This window comes from Homo sapiens, chromosome 4 (assembly GCF_000001405.40).
Source record: "Homo sapiens chromosome 4, GRCh38.p14 Primary Assembly".
Taxonomy (NCBI): domain Eukaryota; kingdom Metazoa; phylum Chordata; class Mammalia; order Primates; family Hominidae; genus Homo; species Homo sapiens.
This window is the reverse complement of record NC_000004.12, coordinates 83,151,247-83,175,956: the sequence shown is the minus strand read 5'-3', so window position 1 is coordinate 83,175,956 and position 24,710 is coordinate 83,151,247. Positions and strand designations below refer to the sequence as shown.

At 41.5% G+C, this 24,710-nt stretch overlaps 1 long non-coding RNA gene across 1 annotated transcript in view, besides 3 other annotated features; it reads left to right on the top strand.

Moving 5' to 3' along the window:
- The window catches only part of LOC124900167 (uncharacterized), a 61,114-nt gene that overhangs the window by 24,616 nt on the left and 11,788 nt on the right, over positions 1-24,710 (top strand). The gene's annotated exons all lie outside the window — the stretch shown is intronic.
- Positions 1,020-1,069: an enhancer, noted in NCBI's record as "active region_21680". NCBI's record gives its function as "activates an Ori minimal core promoter by ATAC-STARR-seq in GM12878 lymphoblastoid cells {active_cell/tissue: GM12878}" and the evidence as "EXISTENCE:reporter gene assay evidence [ECO:0000049][PMID:35858748]".
- Positions 4,206-5,405: an enhancer, noted in NCBI's record as "BRD4-independent group 4 enhancer chr4:84091705-84092904 (GRCh37/hg19 assembly coordinates)". NCBI's record gives its function as "activates an origin of replication core promoter dependent on BRD2, P300/CBP, MED14 and CDK7 cofactors, and independent of BRD4, by STARR-seq in HCT116 cells {active_cell/tissue: HCT116}" and the evidence as "EXISTENCE:reporter gene assay evidence [ECO:0000049][PMID:35650434]".
- Positions 4,693-4,932: an enhancer, noted in NCBI's record as "active region_21679". NCBI's record gives its function as "activates an Ori minimal core promoter by ATAC-STARR-seq in GM12878 lymphoblastoid cells {active_cell/tissue: GM12878}" and the evidence as "EXISTENCE:reporter gene assay evidence [ECO:0000049][PMID:35858748]".

The window sequence follows — 24,710 nt, the reverse complement described above, 5'->3', positions numbered from 1 at the left end:
TGGATGGGATCATTTTAGCTTCTCATACGTTACTTTCAGTGCTCATACTGTAATCCCTCCATACTCTTTAAGCCTACATTAGGAAATGTCTGTTCTAGTTATTATAGAACTACTGTTAAAGGCTTAGATCACTCTTTTTCATGCATCACCTCCATTTTGACGAGAAATTTCTCTAGGTTTTAATTTGTTTGTCTTTTATGGACATGGCCAATCTCCTAAATATTTGTGTTCCCTCTTTGCTTTGCCTGATCAGAAGCTCAGGGTCTAATGTGCAGTGATGTCTAGCATTGTATAGGAACCTTAAAGCACGCACTAAAGCTGCTCTAGGCTTTATTTTTCCTGTGCCTGATTTCTTCATTTTGCATTTGGTATCTTATTGCATATGTGAGTTTGTAAATGGCTCAAATCTCCTTAAGATCAAGGGTATAAATCAGAGTTTCTCAGCCTTGCCACCATTGGGCCGAATAACTTCTTGTTGAAAGTTAGGGAAGGCAGGGCCTGTCCTGTGCATTGTAGGATGCTTAGCGGCTTCCCTGGCCTCTACCCACTAGATGCCAGTAGCAATTCTCTGCCATCTCCCTGAATTGTAGAAACTAAAACTGTTACTAGACATTGCCATATGTCTCAGGCAGGTGGTGGTTGGGTGGGGCAGGGCGGATGGGAGGTGCAAATCACCCATGGTTGAAAACCACTGGTATAAATAAATACAATTGTATTGAGCACCTACTATTTTCTAGGCTATGTGTAGGCCATTATCTTTGGGGGACACAAAGATGACTGAGGTCCAGTTACCTGTCCTCAAAAAAAACCTACAAATAAGTCAAAAGAAAAGGTGTACATGCTCAGAATACACGTATATAAATCTCATGTCTGCTATTAGTATAGATTCCTGTATATTTTTAATAACCGTGGGAAGGAGGAAGTGAAAATAGTATCATTGTCATTTAGAGAAAAAGCACAGAGGGAGCCAAGTATCAGTGCTGTAATGATATCCTAGTGTCCTGAGCGCCAGACCAGAGGGTTCTCCACCACATCTGGAAAGGGGTTTGCAAGTTCAGAGGAGGGAAAGGCAAATCCAACATGGAAGGTTAGAAATGGCTTCCTGGTGGATGGGCACTAGGGATGGGATGTTAACAGGTAAAGAGGAAGACAGGAGACGGTAACTGACAGCAGGAATAGATATAGAGGGGCTGCTTGCTGAGTAGTGATGGGATAACTTATGGAAGTAGAAATCAAAAGGACTGAAGAAATAGGGTAGGTCACATTGTGAAGAGCTTCAGAGGGCACGCATAGAGGGTCTGGGTGTGAAAGGGCAGTCTTCCTCTAGAACCATGTATGCCTGACACCAGTTTAATAAATTATAGGACAAAAGTAGAGAAGAAGCTTAATAAATTAGGTTACTGGAGAGGTTAATGATGGAAGACAATGGAGGCATCGATAGACCCAGTTTACCCTCTGCTTTTTATCTCTTCCCCTCACAAATGTTTTAGTGAGCCAAGTCCCTTTGACTTGCTTGATGAAAGGAGGATAACTAAACTTTGCCAGTGTCAGAAACTTTCCAAGTCTTGTGCTATGAAAAACACAAATACTCCTGAGAGGACTCCTAATTTAAGCATTATCAAGCATGAGCACCATTTTTAACATGAAGAAAAATGTTTTGGAGTACACTTTGTTTATATAAATTGTGTAGCTTAAATTAGGAAATGCCATATCTTCAACTACACATAATCATTTTTTAATTTCCTTATAACTGAGAGTTTTCATTCTTTTGGCTAAAATTTCAGAAATGACACCATTGGTAGATGAGGCAGAATCTTATCCTGATGCAGAGACTTATGAATTCTGGGAGACCCAGAGGTTCTGTGGGAGTAGGGGAGGGAATTGGCCCTAAATACACACTCAGTTGCAGGACTAAAGGGCTTACTGTGGGGTTTCTGGCTTCTGGAGAAGCTCAAGAACAAGGGAGGTCCTTGAAAGGAACAGATCTGAAGGGATCTGGGAGGCTGCAGGAGATGTAGGAGTCCAGAAGCCAACTACTGGTATGAAACTAACCTTTCTCCACTTTCAATGTATAAAGAGGAAGGGATCCTTTCCCTGGCTATGGCCTAACACAGGTGACAAAAAGTAGGGCCTTTTCCACTGACTTTATTTTACTTTCTTGTTCCAGAAATTAGGTTAATCTCTAATGAGGGGCTGGTGGGTTGATGCGACCCATGGAATTATTTGGTAGGTGGCTGAATGCCAGAAGGAGGCATACAGAGGGCAAAGGAGGGGCTGGAAATAGGGGGAATTAAGAGCCCTGGAACGCCAAGGAGAGACTTACTCAGCTGTTTTACCTGATCCCATCTGGATAGCTCAGATTGGCTCAGAAAAACAGAGCCCAGCGCAAGACCCCAGGGAGTCAATAAATAGTAACTGCTGAGAATAAAACTTCCAGTTAGGAGCAAGCCCCCCAAAATCTGGCCATAAGCTGGCCCCAAAACTAGCCATATACAAAATCTCTGCAGCACTGTAACATGTTCATAATGGCCCTAACACCCAAGCTGGAAGGTTGTATGTTTACGGGATGAGGGCAAGGAACACCCGGCCCGCCCAGGGTGGAAAACTGCTTAAAGACATTCTTAAGCCACAAACAATAGCGTGAGCAATCTGTGTCTTAAGGACATGCTCCTGCTGCAGTTAACTAGCCCAACCTATTCCTTTGATTTGGCCCATCCCTTCGTTTCCCATAGGGGATACTTTTAGTTAATTTAACATCTATAGAAACAATGCTAATGACTGGCTTGCTGTTAATAAATATGTGGGTAAATCTCTGTTCAGGGCTCTCAGCTCTGAAGGCTGTGAGACCCCTGATTTCCCACTTCACACCTCTATATTTCTGTGTGTGTGTCTTTAATTCCTCTAGCACCATTGGGTTAGGGTCTCCCCAACTGAGCTGGTCTCGGCACCTTCCAAAAGACAGGGGACTTGGTAGAATGGAAGAGCACAGACGTTGACTATAGCTCACCTGACCTTGAGCCTGACATAGCTGCTTAAGTTTTCCAAGTATTGAACTTCAAAATAGAAGAGCCAAGCATGGTGGCTCACTCCTGTAATCCCAGCACTTTGAGAGGCCAAGGCAGGCGGATCACCTGAGTTTGGGAGTTCAAGACCAGTCTGGCCAACATGGTGAAACCCTGTCTCTACTAAAAATACAAAAAATTAGCTGGGCGCTGTGGTGGGTTCCTGTAATCCCAGCTACTTGGGAAGCTGAGGCAGGAGAATTGCTTGAACCTGGGAGATAGAGGTTGCAGTGAGCTGAAATCGCCCCAGTGCACTCCAGCCTGGGCAACAGAGCGAGACTTCATCTCAAAAAAGAAGAAGAAAAAGTGGTCACAAGGCTAGAATGTCATAACACACATAAGGCTGCTTAACATGAAATCTGGCAGGAGAAACCTCTCAAGAAATTTCAGTTTTTCTTCCTTTATCCATGAATAAACAATTGTGTGTTCCCAGGGGAAATGCTTTTTTAAGACTTTAGGTACAGGCGCAGTGGCTGACGCCTGTAATCACAGCACTTTGAGTGGCCAAGGCAGGTGGATCACCTGAGGTCAGGAGTTCAAGACCAGCCTGGCCCTGGCCAATATGGTGAAACCCCGTCTCTATTAAAAATACAAAAAAAAAAAAAAAATTAGCTGGGCATGGTGGCAGACACCTGTAATCCCAGCTACTCAGGAGGCAGAAGCAGAAGAATCGCTTGAACCCGGGAGACCAAGGTTGCAGTGAGCTGAGATTGTGCCACTGCACTCCAGCCTGGGCGACAGAGTAAGACTTAGTCTCAAAAAAATATAAAATAAAATAAAATAAAAAAGAAGAAGAAAAAATGGTCTCAAGGCAATCTGATCAATCTGATAGCATACATAAGGCTGCTTAACATGGAATCTGGCAGGAAAAACATCTCAAGAGATTTCAATTTTTCTTCCTTTATCCATGAATAAACAATTGTGTGTTCCCAGAGAAAATGCTCTTTTAAGACTTTAGGTAGAGACTGAATAGATCACTGCTACTGTTAGTGTCCTTTGGCCTCCATCTGGGGGTTGGGAGGAGGGCTTCTTGCACAACCTACAGAAGTTCCATTGTTTTTGCTTCCTCTCTACCATATCCCGTTCCCATAGACATGTGGCGAACAGTTATTCACTGTTATAGCATCAGTCACAAAGACATTCCCCATACCCACCCAATGGAGTTTCCAGATAAAAATACAGAATGCCAGTTAAATTTGAATTTCAGATAAATGATGAATAATTTTTTAGTGTGCCTTAAATATTGCATGTGACATATTTATTCAAATTTAACTGAATAGTCTGTGGTTTGTTTTTTTTTTTCCTACATGTGGCAACTCTATTTAATCATCCAAGTACAATTTCTGTTTTTTCTTGACTTAAAACCAAGGTTCCTGCTTCCCAGTTTCTTTAGCAACCACTGAGTAAAAAGAAAGATGGTGGCAATACCAAGACAGTGGCAAGGATGTGGCACAACTGGAACTCTCATACATTACTGATGGGAGTGTAAATTGCTACTGTTAGGGTACGTAGACAGGCAGATACGAGCAGTACAGGATAGGGCCTTAAAGAATGTCAGGCAACTGTCCAGTGATTGTCAGGTGGCTGGCAACAGGAAGCGGAAATTTTCCTAACAAACAGGAGACTTCTTGACTTGTGGGCAACAACTTCCTGATAAGAACTCAAAATGGTGGAGCACCTTTCTCTGGAGACATGTCCAGGCATGCCCAGTAAGGGGCAAAATGGTGGAGTTTGCCCTTTCTCTGGGGGCATGTCCAGGCATGTGTAGTAAGGGGCAAAATGACAGAGTTTGACACATATATGACCTTCCTCTGGGGCTCTAGACTGGTAAGGGAAATTGCCCTAAGAGAGCATGTGCATAACTTCAACCACCAAAGGGCGCATGCAGCCCCTCCCAGATACTGGCAAGACACTGCACATGCAGTGAGTAGCCAACAGCTCACCCAGAGCCAGGGACAAGAAGAAGAGATGTGGGGGCGGAAAGACAGGAAATAGTAAATCTATAAGACTCCTGAGCCAGTGATCAGGTGAGGAACTCAATCTTTTGAGTTGCCTACTTGGTTTCTTCCAAGTGTACTCTTGTTTCAGTAAACTCTCATTTCTGACTTAAATCTACTTCTGTCTCTTGGCCAAGTTCTTTCTCCCAAGAAGATAAAAATTGAGGACTGCATAGCACACCTGGACTTCTTGCAGGTAACAGTACCACTGCTCCGGAATATTAACCCCAAAATATCACTCCTGGGTTGAAACATAACAGAAATACATATATATATATATACCCACCTAAAGATAGTGCAGGAAAACTCATAGCAGCACTATGCTATTCATAACAGTCCAAACTGGAAATGATGCAAAAATAGCATGGATAAATAAGTAGTGGTATATTTATATAATAAAATATTATACAGCAATAAGAATGAATGAGTTATTGTGCACTCAATGTGGCTGACTCTCACAACCATAATTTTGAGCAAAAGAAGTCAGACACAAAAGAAAACATAATCTATAATTAATCTAGTACTTAATATATCTGTACATAAGGTTCAAACACAGGCAAAACCAGCCTCCTGTGTTAGAAGACACAGTAGAAGTAAAGTCTGGGTGGAGAGTTTTGAAGACGGTGAAGGGGTTATGATGGAGGTAGGGGAGAGACAACTTCTAGGGTGCTGGCAATGTTCTAGTTCTTTTTTCTCTTTTTTTTTATACTTTAAGTTCTAGTGTACATGTGCACAACATGCAGGTTTGTTACATACGTATACATGTGCCATGTTGGTGTGTTGCACCCATTAACTCGTCATTTAACATTAGGTATATCTCCTAACGCTATCATTCCCCCCTCCCCCCACCCCACAACAGGCCCCAGTGTGTGGTGTTCCCCATCCTGTGTCCAAGTGTTCTCATTGTTCAATTCCCACCTATAAGTGAGAACATGCAGTGTTTGGTTTTCCGCCCTTGCAATAGTTTGCTGAGAATGATGGTTTCCAGCTTCATCCATGTCCCTACAAAGGACATGAACTCATCCTTTTTTATGGATGCATAGAATTCCATGGTGTATATGTGCCACATTTTCTTAATCCAGTCTATCATTGATGGACATTTGGGTTGGTTCCAAGTCTTTGCTATTGTGAATAGTGCCGCAATAAACATACATGTGCATGTGTCTTTATAGCAGCATGATTTATAATCCTTTTGGTATATATCCAGTAATGGAATGGCTGGGTCAAATGGTATTTCTAGTTCTAGATCCTTGAGGAATAGCCACACTGTCTTCCACAATGGTTGAACTAGTTTACAGTCCCACCGACAGTGTAAAAGTGTTCCTATTTCTCCACATCCTCTCCAGCACCTGTTGTTTCCTGACTTTTTAATGATCGCCATTCTAACTGGTGTGAGATGGTATCTCATCGTGGTTTTGATTTGCATTTCTCTGATGGCCAGTGATGGTGAGCATTTTTTCATGTGTCTGTTGGCTGCATAAATGTCTTCTTTTGAGAAGTGTCTGTTTATATCCTTCACTCACTTTTTGATGGGGTTGTTTGATTTTTTCTTGTAAATTTGTTTAAGTTCTTTGTAGATTCTGGATATTAGCCCTTTGTCAGATGGGTAGATTGTAAAAATTTTCTCCAATTCTGTAGGTTGCCTGTTCACCCTGATGGTAGTTTCTTTTGCTGTGCAGAAGGTCTTTAGTTTAATTAGATCCCATTTGTCAATTTTGACTCTTGTTGCCATTGCTTTTGGTGTCTTAGACATGAAGTCCTTGCCCATGACTATGTCCTGAATGGTATTGCCTAGGTTTTCTTCTAGAGTTTTTATGCCTTTAGGTCTGACTTTAAGTCTTTAATCCATCTTGAATTAATTTTTGTATAAGGTGCAAAGAAGGGATCCAGTTTCAGCTTTCTACATATGGCTAGCCAGTTTTCCCAGCACCATTTATTAAATAGGGAATCCTTTCCCCTTTTCCTCTTTTTGTCAGGTTTGTCAAAGATCAGATGGTTGTAAATGTGTGGTATTATTTCTGAGGGCTCTGTTCTGTTCCATTGGTCTATATCTCTGTTTTGGTACCAGTACCGTGCTGTTTTGGTTACTGTAGCCTTGTAGTATAGTTTGAAGTCAGGTACTGTGATGCCTCCAGCTTTGTTCTTTTTGCTTAGGATCATCTTGGCAATGAGGGCTCTTTTTTGGTTCCATATCAACTTTAAAGTAGTTTTTTCCAATTCTGTGAAGAAAGTCATTGGTAGCTTGATGGGGATGGCATTGAATCTATAAATTACCTTGGGCAGTGTGGCCATTTTCACAATATTGATTCTTCCTATCCATGAGCATGGAACGTTCTTCCATTAGTTTGTGTCCTCTTTTATTTCGTTGAGCAGTAGTTTGTAATTCTCCTTAAAGAGGTCCTTCACATCCCTTGTAAGTTGGATTCCTAGGTATTTTATTCTCTTTGAAGCAATTGTGAATGGGAGTTCACTCATGATTTGGCTCTCTGTCCGTTATTGGTGTATAGGAATGCTTGTGATTTTTGCACATAGATTTTGTATCCTGAGACTTTGCTGAAGTTGCTTATCAGCTTAAGGAGATTTTTGGCTGAGATGATGGGGTTTTCTAGATATACAATCATGTCATCTGCAAACAGGGACAATTTGACTTCCTCTTTTCCTAATTGAATACCCTTTATTTCTTTCTCCTGCCTGATTGCCCTGGCCAGAACTTCCAACATTATGTTGAATAGGAGTGGTGAGAGAGGGCATCCCTGTCTTGTGCCAGTTTTCAAAGGGAATGCTTCCAGTTTTGCCCATTCAGTATGATATTGGCTGTGGGTTTGTCATAGATAGCTCTTATTATTTTGAGATATGTCCCATCAATACCTAATTTATTGAGAGTATTTATCATGAAGGGCTGTTGAATTTTGTCAAAGGCCTTTTCTGCATCTATTGAGATAATCAAGTGGTTTTTGTCTTTGGTTCCATTTATATGATGGATTACATTTATTGATTTGCGTATGTTGAACCAGCCTTGCATCCCAGGGATGAAGCCCACTTGAACATGGTGGATAAGTTTTTTGATGTGCTGCTGGATTCGGTTTGCCAGTATTTTATTGAGGATTTTCGCATCAATGTTCATCAGGGATATTGGTCTAAAATCCTCTTTTTTTGTTGTGTCCCTGCCAGGCTTTGGTATCAGGATGATGCTGGCCTCATAAAATGAGTTAGGGAGGATTCCCTCTTTTTCTATTGATTGGAATGGTTTCAGAAGGAATGGTACCACCTCCTCTTTGTACCTCTGGTAGAATTCGGCTGTGAATCCATCTGGTCCTGGACTTCTTTTGGTTGGTAGACTATTAATTATTGCCTCAATTTCAGAGCCTGTTTTTGGTCTACTCAGGGATTCAACTTCTTCCTGGTTTAGTCTTGGGAGGGTGTATGTGTCCAGGAATTTATCCATTTCTTCTAGATCTTCTAGTTTATTTGTGTAGAGGTGTTTATATAAGTATTCTCCAATGGTAGTTTGTATTTCTGTGGGATTGGTGGTGATATCCCCTTTATCATTTTTTATTGCATCTATTTGATTCTTCTCTCTTTTATTCTTCATTAGTCTTGCTAGGGGTCTATCAATTTTGTTGATCTTTTCAAAAAACCAGCTCCTGGATTCATTGCTTTTTTTGAAGGGTTTTTTATGTCTCTATCTCCTTCAGTTCTGCTCTGATCTTAGTTATTTCCTGCCCTCTGGTAGCTTTTGAATGTGTTTGCTCTTGCTTCTCTAGTTCTTTTAATTGTGATGTTAGGGTGTCAATTTTAGATCTTTCCTGCTTTCTCTTATGGGCATTCAGTACTATAAATTTCCCTCCACACACTGCTTTAAATGTGTCCCAGAGATTCTGGTACGTTGTGTCTTTTTTCTCATTGGTTTCAAAGAACATCTTTTTTTCTGCCTTAATTTTGTTATGTAGTCATTCAGGAGCAGGTTGTTCAGTTTCCATGTAGTTGAGCAGTTTTGAGTGAGTTTCTTAATCCTGAGTTCTAATTTGATTACACTGTGGTCTGAGAGACAGTTTGTTATAATTTCTGTTCTTTTACATTTGCTGAAGAGTGCTTTACTTCCAACTATGTGGTCAATTTTGGAATAAGTGTGATGTGGTGCTGAGAAGAATGTATATTCTGTTGATTTGGGGTGAGGAGTTCTGTAGATGTCTATTAGGTCTGCTTGGTGCAGAGCTGAGTTCAATTCCTGGATATCCTTGTTAACTTTCTGTCTCGTTGATCTGTCTAATGTTGACAGTGGGGTGTTAAAGTCTCCCATTATTATTGTGTGGAAGTCTAAGTCTCTTCATAGGTCTCTAAGGGCTCACTTTATGAATCTGGGTGCTCCTGTATTGGGTGCATAGATTTTTAGGATAGTTAGCTCTTCTTGTTGAATTGATCCCTTTACCATTATGTAATGGCCTTCTTTATCTCTTCGGATCTTTGTTGGTTTAAAGTCTGTTTCATCAGAGACTAGGATTGCAACCACTGCTTTTTGTTTGTTTTCCATTTGCTTGGTAGATCTTCCTCCATCCCTTTATTTTGAGACTATGTGTGTCTCTGCACGTCAGATGGGTCTCCTGAATACAGCACACTGATGCGTCTTGACTCTTTATCCAATTTGCCAGTCTGTGTCTTTTAATTGGGGCATTTAGCCCATTTACATTTAAGGTTAATATTGTCATGTGTGAATTTGATCATGTCATTATGATGTTAGCTGGTTATTTTGCCCATTAGCTGATGCTGTTTCTTCCTAGCATCAATGGTCTTTACAATTTGGCGTGTTTTTGCAATGGCTAGTACCGGTTGTTCCTTTCCATGTTTAGTGCTTCCTTCAGGAGCTCTTGTAAGGCAGGCCTGGTGGTGACAAAATCTCTCAGCGTTTGCTTTTCTGTAAAGGATTTTATTTCTCCTTCACTTACGAAGCCTAGTTTGGCTGGATATGAAATTCTGGGTTGATAATTCTTTTCTTTAAGAATGTTGAATATTGGCCTCCACTGTCTTCTGGCTTGTAGAGTTTTTGCCAAGAGATCCACTGTTAGTCTGATGGGTTTCCCTTTGTGGGTAACCCAACCTTTCTCTCTGGCTGCCCTTAACATTTTTTCCTTCATTTCAACTTCAGTGAAGCTGACAATTATGTGTCTTGGAGTTGCTCTTCTCGAGGAGTATCTTTGTGGCATTCTCTGTATTTCCTGAATTTGAATGTTGGCCTGCCTTGCTAGGTTGGGGAAGTTCTCCTGGATAATATCCTGAAGAGTGTTTTCCAACTTGGTCCCATTCTCCCTGTCACTTTCAAGTACACCAATCAGATGTAGATTTGGTCTTTTCACATAGTCCCATATTTCTTGGAGGCTTTGTTCATTTCTTTTTACTCTTTTCTCTCTAAACTTCTCTTCTTGCTTCATTTCATTCATTTGATCTTCAATCACTGATACCCTTTCTTCAAGTTGATCAAAACGGCTACTTAACCTTGTGCATGCGTCACGTAGTTCTCGTGCCATGGTTTTCACCTCCATCTGGTCATTTAAGGTTTTCTCTATGCTATTTTTTCTAGTTAGCCATTCATCCAATGTTTTCTCAAGGTTTTTAGCTTCTTTGCAATGGATTCGAACATCTTCCTTTAGCTCAGAGAAGTTTGTTATTACCGATCTTCTGAAGCCTTCTTCTCTCAAATTTTCAAAGTCATTCTCCATCCAGCTTTGTTCCATTGCTGGCAAGGAGCTGCGTTCTTTAGGAGGAGAAGAGGTGCTCTGATTTGTAGAATTTTCAGCTTTTCTGCTCTGTTTTCTCCCCATCTTTGTGGTTTTATCTACCTTTGGTCTTTGATGATGGTGATGTACAGATGGGGTTTTGATGTGGATGTCCTTTCTGTTTGTTAGTTTTCCTTCTAACAGTCAGGACCCTCAGCTGCAGGTCTTTTGGAGTTTGCTGGAGGTCCACTCCAGACCCTGTTTGCCTGGGTATCACCAGCAGATGCTGCAGAACCGCAAATATTGCAGAATGGCAAATGTTGCTGCCTGATTGTTCGTCTGGAAGCTTCATCTCAGAGGGGCACCTGGCCATATGAGGTGTCAGTTGGCCCCTACTGGGAGGTGCCTCCCAGTTAGGTTACTTGGGGGTCAGGGACCCACTTGAGGAGGCAATCTTTCCGTTCTCAGATCTCAAACTCCGTTCTGGGAGAACCACTACTCTCTTCAAAGCTGTCAGACAGGGACCCTTAAGTCTGCAGAAGTTTCTGCTGACTTTTGTTTGGCTATGCCCTGCCCCCAGCGGTGGAGTCTACAGAGGCAGGCAGGCCTCCTTGAGCTGCGGTGGGCTCCACCCAGTTTGAGCTTCCCAGCCGCTTTGTTTACCTACTCAAGTCTCAGCAGTGGTGGGTGCCCCTCCCCCAGCCTCGCTGCCGACTTGCAGTTCAATCTCAGACTGCTGTGCTAGTAGTGAGCAAGGCTCCATGGGCATGGGACCCTCTGAGCCAGGCATAGGATATAATCTCCTGGTGTGCTGTTTGCTAAGACCGTTGGAAAAGCACAGTATTAGGGAGGGAGTGACCCAATTTTCCAGCTGCCGTCTGTCACAGCTTCCCTTGGCTAGAAAAGGGAATTCCTCAACCCCTTGCACTTCCCGGGTGAGGTGATGCCTCACCCTGCTTTGGCTCATGGTCTGTGGGCTGCACCCAATGTCCTGCACCCACTGTCTGACAAGCCCCAGTGAGATGAACCAGGTACCTCAGTTGGAAATGCAGAACTCACCTGTCTTCTCCGTCGCTCACGCTGAGAGCTGTAGACTGGAGCTGTTCCGATTCGGCCATCTTGGACTTCACCAGTGTTCTAGTTCTTGAATCATGTTGTGGTTACAAGAATTGTTCACTTTGTGAAAATTAATCGGTCATTTGATTTCTGCACTTTACTGTATGTATATTACACTTCAATTAAAGGTTTATTTAAATAGAAAAAAAAAGGCCAGGCGTGGTGGCTCACACCTATAATCCCAGCACTTTGGAAGGCCAAGGCAGGTGGATCACGGGGTCAGGAGATCAAGACCATCCTGGCTAACATGGTGAAACCCCGTCTCTACTAAAAATACAAAAAAAATTAGCTGGGCATGGTGGCAGGTGCCTGTGGTCTCAGCTACTCAGGAGGCTGAGGCAGCAGAAAGGCGTGAACCCAGGAGGCCAAGCTTGCAGTGAGCCGAGATCGTGCCACTGCACTCCAGCCTGGGTGACAGAGCAAGACTCCATCTCAAATAAATAAATAAATTAATTAATAGAAAAAAGTAGTAGAATTGGATAGGTCAAACTGTCCACATAGGAACAATAAGCAGAGGGAAGAGAAAAAAGATAGGTTGTGGGGGTGCAGAACCCAACAGGAATTGCACACACAAGAGGAAGTTCCAAACAAGATGTGAGTAAATCTGTAGGGACACCAGGTTCACATAATGAGTTCTAAGTTCTAGGACTTGCATTTTTAATACTTTGAACTAAGAAGCAAGGTATTGTGTTTATCCTTCACAGTGATTGCTTTTCAGACTTACTGTAGAGAGAATTTACGTATGGTGGGAAACTGGATTAGACAACTTTTAGAATCTTCCTCCCTTCGTGCTCATGATCCATGATGCTGTTGATGTTCTCTAAACCTGGTTGATATTTTGAGCTGGATGATTTTTTGTTGTGGGGGCTGTTGTGTGTCTGTGGGATGTTTAACAACACCCCAGCCTCTACCCACTAGATACTAGTAGCAACCTTCCCCCAGTTGTGAAAACCAAAAATATGTTCAATCTCAATGTCCCTGGAGGTTAAAATGGTCTCTGGTTGAGAACCAGTGATCTAAACCTAAATTATATAATTCTAGGTCAAGTTTTTGAGGATTCATTTCAAGATATCAAAAACAAATAAGTAACTCAATAAATACATAAAGAGAAAGCAAAGTTAGTCACATACTGTCTAGCTTCCCTTCCCAAAATTTTGGCAAGGACACTCTAAGAAAATGTTTACCTTTTATTCCTGAGCAAGGCTTGCCCATTTTAGCTGGCCAAGATTTAGAATTCATGTCTGGGAGTTCAGTGGAAAGAAGAATGAAGGCTTCGGGTTCCACTGAGTTGAATTCAAATTCCAGCCTTGCCACTCTGTCACTTGAGATATGTAGCTTACTTTCTGCTTCTTTTCCTTCTTTCCACAGCCTTGTAGAACAGGTACACATATCCTACAATATCTAGGAGAACATAAAGGGAGTGGGATACTAGGGATACTATTGGTTTTCCCTCCAGGGCCAAGTACTACATTTATGTAACTAATATTCATGAGATACCATATGCCAAGCACCATTTTAAGGGCTTTTAAAATATTAATTCATTTAATCCCCCTGACAGCCTAAAAATCTGGATACTGTTAGCATCTCATTTTCATAGACAAGGAAACTGAGGCACAGAGAGTTGAAGTCACTTTTCCAGGGTGATGCAGCTAGTCAATGGGAAAGCTGGAGTCTAAGGCCAGAATCCATGCTCTTACCCACTAGACTGTGCAGTTAGGTCCACTTTCTGATCTTTTGGTTTTGTAACATTTTCTGTGACGCATTATTCATGTATTTTCCCTGCAGAGACTGGGAAGAGAATGAAGGGCCAACACTTTGAGACAAGCCTCATTTACTCATCTATAAAATAAAGAGGTTGGAGTAGCAATCATGATTTTTACTTGGCCTTGTCACTTAACCTCTTTGCCTTAGTTTTCTTGTCTGCAGTAAAAAGAGTTTAATCAGTTTTAACTTCCTAGATATTCTGGTCTGCTGTGACTATTAAATAGAGATTAATGTTAAATAGAGATGAAGCATACAAAAATGCTTTGTAAAGCAAACCGGTCTACACAAGTGTAAGCCATTGTCATTATACTGGCAACATATCATGCTGACATTTTTTTCCCACTGACTTTCACTAGTACTTGGATTCTCTTGTACTTGCAGTGATTTGCAGTTTTCAAAATATCTTCATGGACATAATCTTATTTGAGCCTCCCAAATATGAGCAATGACTAAAATCCAAGCCTAGCCCATTGGCCAGCCTACACCACCACACTATCATTATCCTTCTGGGTTCGGTGCTCTCAACACTTTTCCCTATCATGAAATCAGGCCCTGCTATTAGCCACATTTCATTTGAAAGAGAGACAATGGTGTATGTGTCAAGAGGAAGGACAATGCTTAACTGACATAGTCTTATCACATTAATATGACAACCCAATGAGACAAGTTGTATTACACTCACTTTAAATATGTCAAAACTGAGCCTCAGGCCGGGTACAGTGGCTCAGGCCTATAATCCCAGCACTTCGGGAGACTGAGGTGGGCAGAACCTGAGGTCAACCGTTCAAGACCAGCCTGACCAACATGGAGAAAACCCGTCTCTATTAAAAATACAAAATGAGCCAGGCGTGGTGGCGCATGCCTGTAATCCCAGCTACTCAGGAGACTGAGACAGGAGAATCGCTTGAACCTGGGAGGCGGAGGTTGCAGTGAGCCGAGATCATGCCACTGCACTCCAGCCTGGGCAACAAGAGCGAAACTCTGTCTCAAAACAAACAAACAAACAAACAAACAAAACAAAACTGAGCCTCAGAGAAGTTAATTTACTTGTCCAAGGACACACAGAGAGTGGAAAGTAGATTTGAACCCAGGTTTGCTTGTCTCCATACATCCAAACCGTGACCTAGACCCTAGCTACTCAAAGCAAGGGTCAGGGACCATCAGCATTGGCACCAACTGTGAACTTATTAGAAAGGTAAATCTCAGGACCCACTCGAGACCTACTGAGATGGGATCTACATTTTAGAAGGATACTTAGATGAGTCCTGTGCACATTATAACTTAACACCACTGATCTATATTGATGTTCAGCATAGATCTATGTATGACATACAGAAGTGCAAAATCTGTTGAGAAACACATATCTATATCTATATATCTACACACACATATATCCTAGTGTGTTTTCAAAACATACCTCTAAACATTTTATTTTAAGTAATGGAATGTAGAGATTTAAAAGCAGATGACATGAGTCCCTGTGTTAAATTAGGAATTGAATTAACTGATACATAGTATACACTTGGCTAGAAGGGATTTTTGTATATAGCAATTGCAACATATGCCCATTCCAGGATTTATATCAGAACTTCTCAAAACTTACTCACTGGTATTTTTTTTCTACATCAAACACAACATATTTTATCCTTGTTCCAAATTATTCTACACAACAAGCATATGTGTCCAGAGCTATGCAAACAGTTATAAACCACTGAAAGAATATTTAAAACACAGTATTTGCCCCCAGAGGAATTTTTAGCTTTGGAAGTTGGCTATGGTTTGAATGTCCCCTCCAAAACTCCTGTTGAAACTTAATCCTTAATTGAGAGGTAGGACCTTTAAGAGGTGATTGGATCACGAGGGCTCTCCCTCATGAATGGATTAGTGGGTTATCTTGGGAGTAGGACTGGTGGCTTTATACAAAGAGGAAGAGAGACCTGAGAGAGCGTGCTCATTCCCCCACCATATGATGCCTTGGGCCATTTTGCCCTGGGACTCTGCAGAGAGTCCCCACCAGCAAGAAGGCTCTCGCCAGATGCAGCTCTTCCACCTTGGGCTTCTCAGCCTCCATAACTGTAAGAAATAAATTTCTTTTCTTTTTTTTTTTTGAGACACAGTCTCTATGTCCCCCAGGCTGGAATGCAGTGCCACAATCTCGGCTCACTGCAAGCCCCACCTCCTGGGTTCATGCCATGCTCCTGCCTCAGCCTCCCGAGTAGCTAGGACTACAGGCACCAGCCACCATGCCCGGATAATTTTTTTTTTTTGTATTTTTAGTAGAGACAGGGTTTCACCGTGTTAGCCAGGATGGTCTCAATCTCCTGACCTCACGATCCACCCACCTCAGCCTCCAAAGTGCTGGGATTACAGGCGTGAGCCACCATGCCCGGCCTCTCTTCTTTATAAATTACCCAGTTTCAGATATTCTGTTATAAGCAACAGAAAATTGACTGAGACAGATCTCTTGAACTTTAGCATAGTTTTCCATTTTGATATGTTGGATAAACTAATTTTGATTGGCTATGCTGATGTTTCTCCCCAAAGCATTATTTTTATTAAAGAAGCAATTTTCTGTTAAAAATATATCCTTACTGCGACATTTTTCTTTCTTTAATGATACACACCCATCCACACAGCAGCAGCAGCGGCAGCTCTGTGTAGATTTTGATACATATATAGGTATTGGTTTACAAATTGATATGATTTGGATGTTTGTCTCCTCCAAATCTCATATTGAAATATAATCCCTAATGTTGGAGGTGTGCCCAGTGGAAGGTATTGGATCATAGGAGCAGATCCCTCATGAATGGCTTAACACCATCTCCTTGGTGATGAGTGAGTTCTGTCTCAGTTCACATGAGATCTTGTCATTTAATAGAGTCTGGGACCTCCCTCTGCTCTCTTCTTTCCTCCCTTGCCAGGTGATATGCTCCTGCCTTGCCATCTGTCATGATTGAAAGCTTCCTGAAGCCCTCACTAGGAGCAGATGCCAGCACCATGCTTCTCATACAGCCTGCAGAACCACGAGCCAAAATAAATCTCTTTTCTTTATAAATTACCCAGCCTCAGGTATTTCTTTATTTTTTCTTTTTTTCTTTTCTTTCTTTTTTTTTTTTTTTTTTTTTTTTTTTTTTTGAGACGGAGTCTCACTCTGTTGCCCAGGCTCTGTAGTGCAGTGGCGCAAATCTCGGCTCACTACAACCTCCACCTCCCAAACTTAAGCAATTCTCCTGCCTTGGCCTCCCGAGTAGCTGGGATTACAGGCATGTGCCACCACGCCCAGCTAATTTTTATATTTTTATTTTTAGTAGAGACGGGGTTGGGCACCATATTGCCCAGGCTGGTCTTGAACTCCTGACCTCAGGTGATCCTCCCTCCTCGGCCTCCCAAAGTACTGGGATTACAGGCATGAGCCACCACACCCAGCCTCCTCCCAAATACTTTAAATCATCTCTAGATTACTTATAATACCTAATACTATGTAAATAGTTGTTATACAATATTGGGTTTTTTAATTTGTATTATTTTTTACTGTTGTACTGGGTTTTTTTTCCCCAAATATTTTCTATTTGCAGCTGAATGAATTCACAGATGTGCCCATGGATATGGAGGTTCAACTGTATATATGTAACATTCAGAATTGGATAACACATTACCTCTACAATTTATTTTTATTTATAAATATTTCTCAGACAATAGATGGAGTTCATATCATGTGCCAACCCTGATCAAATGGTAGTAGCATTCCATATACTGTCTTGTGAAGGATTCTAAGATATATACAGCAGGAATGTTCTGGAATCAATTAGCAACATCTACTGTGTGTAGGGGAAGGAGATTTTGAGGTGTGCCTGCCACACATTGCCTTTCCTGCACTGCAATCCTGCCTCCTGCTCCAAAAAGTTGTTTTTACTGTTCCTCATGCATCGCACACATTCTTTCCCTAGGCATTTCTTCAAAATATTTCCACTGCCTGGAATTCTCTACTTCCTACCTCTAGACAAGAATTCCATGCCCTCCAATCATCCTTCCCCCAATTTCTCCTGAACCCTGTGATAATTCTATTTCTACTAGCTTTTTGCGGGGAGAGGAGGGGCAGGGAGGGTGAAATCCGAAAAAATAAAACTTGCTCTGACCACGTGCTTGGACTTCTCCAGCTCCTAGCCCTAAATAAGATGTTTTTCTTACACCTCCGAAGAGGTCAGGGAGATTCTTGGCACATATTTGTTTTTACTGAAATTGAATAGGCTGGGCGCGGTGGCTCACGTTTGTAATCCCAACATTTTGGGAGGCCGAGGTGGGTGGATCACTTGAGATCTGGAGTTCAAGACTAGCCTGGCCAACATGGTGAAATCCCATGTCTACTAAAAATACAAAAATTAGCCAGGCAGGGTGGCAGGTGCCTGTAATCCCAGCTACTCAGGAGGCTGAGGCAGGAGAATTGCTTGAACCTGGGAGACAGAGGTTGCAGTGAGCTGAGATAACACCACTGCACTGGCGTGCACTGAGATTGCACTCCAGCCTGGGCAACAGAGTGAGACTCCATCTCAAAAAAAAAGAAGGAAAGAAAGTACCACTCACTTCCTCTGCAAGCTACAAATGCCCTTCCAGGGCTGTGCAAGTATCTCTATGGTTTTAGGTCTTTTGTTTTACCATTGGAGATTCTCACCTAATCGGTTCCCTTCTTAATTACTTTCGCCTCATATAAATTTATATTAAACTCCCTCTGGCTTTGTAATTATGCACAATACCAAAATGAAGCCAAGTTACTACAAGAAAAGATTTTGAGTGAATGACCCTTTTCTTTTCTTGCTCTGTTCCGATTTGGTCCTCAGAGGACTCAGTGTCTGGGAGGAAAGTTTGGAAAATAACATTTAGATTTAAAAGCAGTCAAAATAAGCAATAAGGCTGTTATGGAACTCTTCACCACTCTCACCTTTGTACAATCCTTCTAACACTTAAGAAGCACTTGGGGGTGCTCATTAAACATACAGATTCCTCAGTCTCCTTCCAGGCATATTAAATCCAAATTTCTAGAGATGTGACATTTTTAACAAGCCGCTCAGGTAATTCTTCCACTAAAGTTTGAAAAATAAAAGAAAAATTTGTTCATGCAAGTTTTTAATTTCATTAAATAAGTTACACCATAAATGTTAGCTAACAATATGACAGTGGTTCTCAAAAACAGAAAGTCTCCGTAGACAGAAACCAGTGGAAAATATCTATTATGTAGAAGATTTGAATTAATAATACTCCATTGTAACCAGCACTACAAAACACTCTTACTATACAAAAATTAAAAAATGATCTTGCCTCATCACAAATTTAAATTCAATTGCTGGACAATATTATCCATTCTCATGACTTACAACCATCACCTCTCTGATGGTTCATTCTTTAACCCGTATTCTATTGCATGTCTGCTTTGTGCTAGGCACTGTGGTAGGATTCCCCAGCCAGCTCTTCACTACACCTGTCAGTTAGTAGTCTTTGCACTACCATATAGTCACAGGTTTTCCTCTGTTATTAGCAAAGACATCATTACCCTGCCAATTAATCAGAGAAAAGAAAGACCTTCAGATTCCATTTAAATATTTATCTACACCTTGTAGTTTTAAACATGATTCCTGGTGTGATTTGACCATAATTATATAGACTTCTCAATCTGTAGTCACCCGACAGGTTCTTCTTGCCCACCAGACAGATAAAACCAATTCACGGAGACAGAAGTATTGCAGTAGAGAAAGAGTTTAATAATCACAGGGCTAGCCAAACAGAAGGAAAGGAGTAGTTACTCAAATAAGCCTTCCCAAAGGCTCAGAGGCTGGGGTTTTTCAAGGATAGTTTGTTGGGTGGGAGGCTAGAAAATGGGGACTGCTGATTGGTTGGGCTCAGGATGAAATAACAGGGGGTCAGAGCTGTCTTCAGGTGCTGAGTCCATTCTTGGGTGGAGGTCACAAGACCAGATGAAACAATGTATTGGTATGGGTCCATGTGGCACTGGCTGATCAATCAGAATGCAGGATCTGAAAAATATCTCAAATACCAATCTTAGGTTTTACAATAATCATATTACTTATAGGAGCAATTGGGGAGGTTACAAATCTTGTGACCTCTGGCTGTATGACGACCCCTGAGCCCCAAACAAGAGGGGGTTAGTTTTGGTAAGGGGCTGTAATCGTCTTTGTTTAAATGATAAACTAAATTCCTCCCATAGTCAGCTTGGCCTATGCCCAGGAGTGAGCAAGGACAGCTTGGAGGTTAGAAGCAAGATGGAGCCTGCTGTGTTAGATTTCTCTCTCCGTCGTAATTTTTGCAAAGGTGGTTTCAAATTTGGGTTATTTTCCCTTTGTGTCATAAAGCAAGATCTTGATAATAAATATCAGAGGTACTGGTCTCCGGCAGTTCAAAGTTCCTTGGCTTTTATTGTCCTATAGAGCTTCCACTCTTCTTTGTGGGGCAGGGAGAGGGATTAGGCTGTTGGTGGGAATCAACTGATGGCAGCCACAGATCTCAGAGCAGACAAAAGTAATCAGGAAGAGGAGTAGGGTAAGGCAAAGACATAAGACACCCGTTTAGGAAGGATGAAGAAAAAGCAAAATGATATGTAAAATACTGGTCTTCAGAGCTGGCTATGTCAGCATCACTTAAAAATTTCACATAAACCTTGTGCAGTGGTGAGCACCTATAGTCCCATGTACTGGGGAGGCTGAGATGGGAGGATCTCTTGAGCCCAGGAGTTCAAATCCAGCCTGAACAACATAGCAAGAGCCCCATCTCTTAAATAAGAAAAAAAAGCCTTTACACACCCAGGATCCACCTCGGACTACTGAATCAGAAACATGTATCTGTATTTTTAACCAAGCACTCTGGTTGAACCTAGTGCATAGCCTGGTTTGGGAAGCACCATGATAGTATCTTTGATTGGGGCCTTCCATGGCAACATGGTGGAGAAATATTGAAGGCAGCAAAGCAGAGGGAAAATGGGGCATTATTGCCACTGGTCAGGGAGGATAAGAAGTGATCAGGAGCAGGACTACTAGCCAAACAACGGCACAGGGCTATGGTTATATTTGAAATAACAAAGTAGAAAATGTTAACATTAGTCATGGTGAAACCAAGTGCATTTTTTCTTGAGGTTACTGACTGGGTAGGAGCTCTGAGGCTTGGTGCCTGGATGAAAAGTATAAGCACCAATCTAAGGAACTTCCTGTTGATTTTGCAAAGCTGAGTTTCTCTGTGAGGCCTTGAAGTCTCTTCAAGGTGTGGTGGCTCACACCTGTAATCCCAGCACTTTGGGAGGCAGAGGTGGGTGGATCCCCTGAGGTCAGTAGTTGAAGACCAGCCTGGCCAACATGGTGAAACCCTGTCTCTACTAAAAATACAAAAAAATCAGCTGGGCGTGGTGGTGGGCACCTGTAATCCCAGCTACTTGGGAGGCTGAGGCAGGAGAATTGTTCAACCCGGGAGGCAGAGGTTGCAGTGAGCCAAGACTGTGCCATTGCACTCCAGCCTGGGCAACAAGAATGAAACTCTGTCTCAAACAAAAACAAAAACAAACACACACACACACACACAGAGACAGAGCACGGCCATTGGTAAATGGCAAACTGGCCCCTGGATGTGCTTCAGTGACATGAAGATATGTAAGTGCATGTAGTTAGCATTTTCTCCTTGACTACAGTGAGGCAGGTTACTGACATAATAAAAATTGTTTTTTTCTTCTCATTGAGTTCCATGCTATATTCTTTAACTCAAAAGCCAAAAGCTGGTAACCCATGAGTGGGTGAATTCAGCCCTTAGATGCATTTTGTTGGTCCTATACATAATGAGCCCTCTTGTATTTATTGCTTTAGTTAAATTAGTTGATTTTATTTTTTTTTTGAGACAGGGTCTCACTCTGTCACCCAGGCTGGAGTGCAGTGGTCCAATCATATCTCACTGCATCCTCAACTTCCAGGGCTCAAGATCACCCTGCCTCAGTCCCCCAAGTAGCTGGGACCACAGGTGTGTGCCACCACACCTGGCTAATTTTTTTGTTATGTGTAGAGACAGGGTCTCACTATGTTGCCCAGGCTGCTCTCAAACTCGGGCTTAAACAATCCTCCTGCCTTAGTCTCCCAAAGTGCTGGGATTACAGTCATGAGCCACTGCACCCCGCCTCTTGCTTTAATTTTAAAATAGTAGAAAACATGTAAAACTCAGATTTCCCATAAAAATTTAGTTTTCCAATCTAGATTTTAAGCTTCTGTTGAAAATTTGGAAAATATGGAAAGAGAGGTCCTCATTCTCACATGGCAGAGGTCAGCTGCCGTTGAGTGTTAGCAAACCCACAGAAAGGAATATTCACTCTGCAGTTGACATATTCATGTCCACCATTCGCTATTGTCTATTTTGTGTTTTTTCCAACTATTTCACTCACTTATTTTTCCTGCCTCGCTTTGAGTTTGCAGTCCTTGTCTGGCTCAATCACCTCTTTTTAAACGTTTCACCTCTTCAGTATTGCCATGCTTTTGAAATGTTTCTCCCATTTGTCTTCCAGGTATCTCTTTCGTTGTCTATAGTGCTGATTCAGTTTTCCTGCTTTCGATGACATTCTTGTGACTTTTGTGATTGCTCAATTTCAGGAAGTATTGCATTTTTTTTAACTTTACTGACTTTTACTTCTTTTATACTTCCAAACATACTTTTGTGGAGAAAATCTTTTTTATTTCAGAGTCTAATACCATGAGCTGAAAACTCAGTGCAGCTTAACCTTTAAGTAATAGGCCCCTGTTTTTGTGATTGAGGGAAGTTCCAAGTTCATTGGAAAGCACCTGCTGCTTAAAACAATTTAAAAAAAAATAGCTTTCTTGAGTACAGCAAATCAAAACTCCATCCCAGGGCTTTTCAAAATAGACTGGTACGCAGAGCATATTTAAGAACAATTTCTTGTTTGTTGCTATTTCCTTAGGCCTTTTTTCTTACAGAAGATCCTTTCAAGTAAAATTGCAGCAAGCTTTTTAAGCTTTTGATGCCAATATCTCTTAACTTCTCTTGCTCCCATCTCATAAAAATAATAGGACTCTAGCCCGGGTGCAGTGGTGCCTGCCTGTAATCTCAGCGCTTTGGGAAGCTGAAGCGGGAGGATCGCTTAAGCCCAGGAGTTCGAGGCTTCACTGAGCTATGATCACACCACTGCACTCCAACCTGAGTGACAGAGCGAGATCCCGTCTCTAAACATAGTAATAATAATAATAATGGGATGCTAATCTTTTCCTGAATTACCATCTAGAGTTTGCTTCCTATTGTTGTTCTCACTTTCAGCCCTAACGATTTCTCCACTTGGCATTTTCTGACCCTAAACACCCTTTCATAGTTTTCAGGGAGTTTCCCAGACATCTTGACGCCACAAACGTCATATGCAAGCATGACCTAAATGTAATTAAGGGCAGAAAAGAAAAATAACTTGGGCATGTTCAAATTGGCAAGGCAGGAGCTTCTGCAATTAAGTTGGATCTAGTATCATGACTTGTAAATTGTCCTCAACCTGCACGCTAGAACCTTGTTAGGTCAAAAGCCAGTATTCATTCATCCAACAGGAATTTTTTTTTTTTTTTTTTTTTTTTTTTTTTTTTTTTTGCTCTTGTTGCCCAGGCTGGAGTGCAATGGCGTGATCTTGGCTCACTGCAACCTCCGCCTCCTTGGTTCAAGCGATTCTCCTGCCTCAGCCTCCTGAGTTGCTGGGATTACAGGTGCCTTCAACCACTCTCGGCTAATTTTTTGTATTTTTAGTAAAGATGGAGTTTCACCATGTTGGCCGGGCTGGTCTTGAACTCCCAACCTCAGGTGATCCACTCGCCTCAGCCTCCCAAAGTGCTGGGATTACAGGCATGAGCCACTGCGCCCAGCTGGGATTTTCTTTTAGTAAGCTTTTACTTTAAATAAGTACTTTAAATAATTTCAGACTTAAAGAAAATTTGCAGAAATAGCACAAAGCATTCCTGAACACCCTTCATTTAGATTCCCCAAAAAATAACATTTTGCCACATCTGCTTAATTTTCTCTCTCTCCTCTATATATGTCTATCTATTTTGTTTTTTCTGAGTCATTTTAGAATAAATTACAAACTGGATGCCCTTTTCTCTTAAATACTTCAGTGCATACTGCCTATGAACAAGGACATCCTCCTATATAACTACAACACAAATATCAAAATCAGGAATTTAACATTTTACAATACTATTAGCTATTCAATGGACCTTATTTAAACTGTATCAATTATCTCAGTAACATTATTTGTAAGAACAGAAACTCAGTTTGGGGTCACACATTGCATTCAGTTGTCAAGCCTCTTTAGTCTCCTACAAAGTGGAAGTTTCTCAGTCTTTTCCCTGTCTTTCATGACCTTGACATTTTTTTAAGATTGCAGGTCAGTTATTTTGTAGAATATTACTCAATTTGGTTTGCCAAACATTTTTGGGTAATTAGATTATGCAATTGTGGCAGAAACCCCACAAAAGTGACACCATGTTTGCAGTGCATGATATTAGGAGGGACAGGACATCAATTTACCCATGATGGGTGAATTAATATGGATTAACTTTGATGACTTGGTTAAGATAGTGTCTTCCAGGATTCTCCACTGTAAAGTTGCTATTTTCTCTATCATAACAAATAAGGATCTTGTAGTGAGTTGTAAATATTCTCACACCTTCACCCACTACTTGTAACGTCCATTAAAGATTCCTGCATAAACCAATTATTACCGTAACAGTTGTCAATGGTAGGGATTAGCCTCTCATAGGAGAAGACAACCACAGTATTACTAAATAAAAGTACATCAAGTAGGATGATGATAAGTGCTAGAGAGAAATAAAGCAGGGAATAGGAATAAAGTGTTGAAGGGTTCTAATTTTAAATAGGGTTATTAGAGAAGACCTCAGTGAGAAAATAACGATCTAAAAGGATAAGCAAAAGCTGGATGTGGTGGTGCACGCCTATGGTTCCAGATACTCTGGGGGCTGAGGTGGAAGCCCAGGAGTTAAAGGCCTTATTTTATGTGTTCTATTTTATTGAAA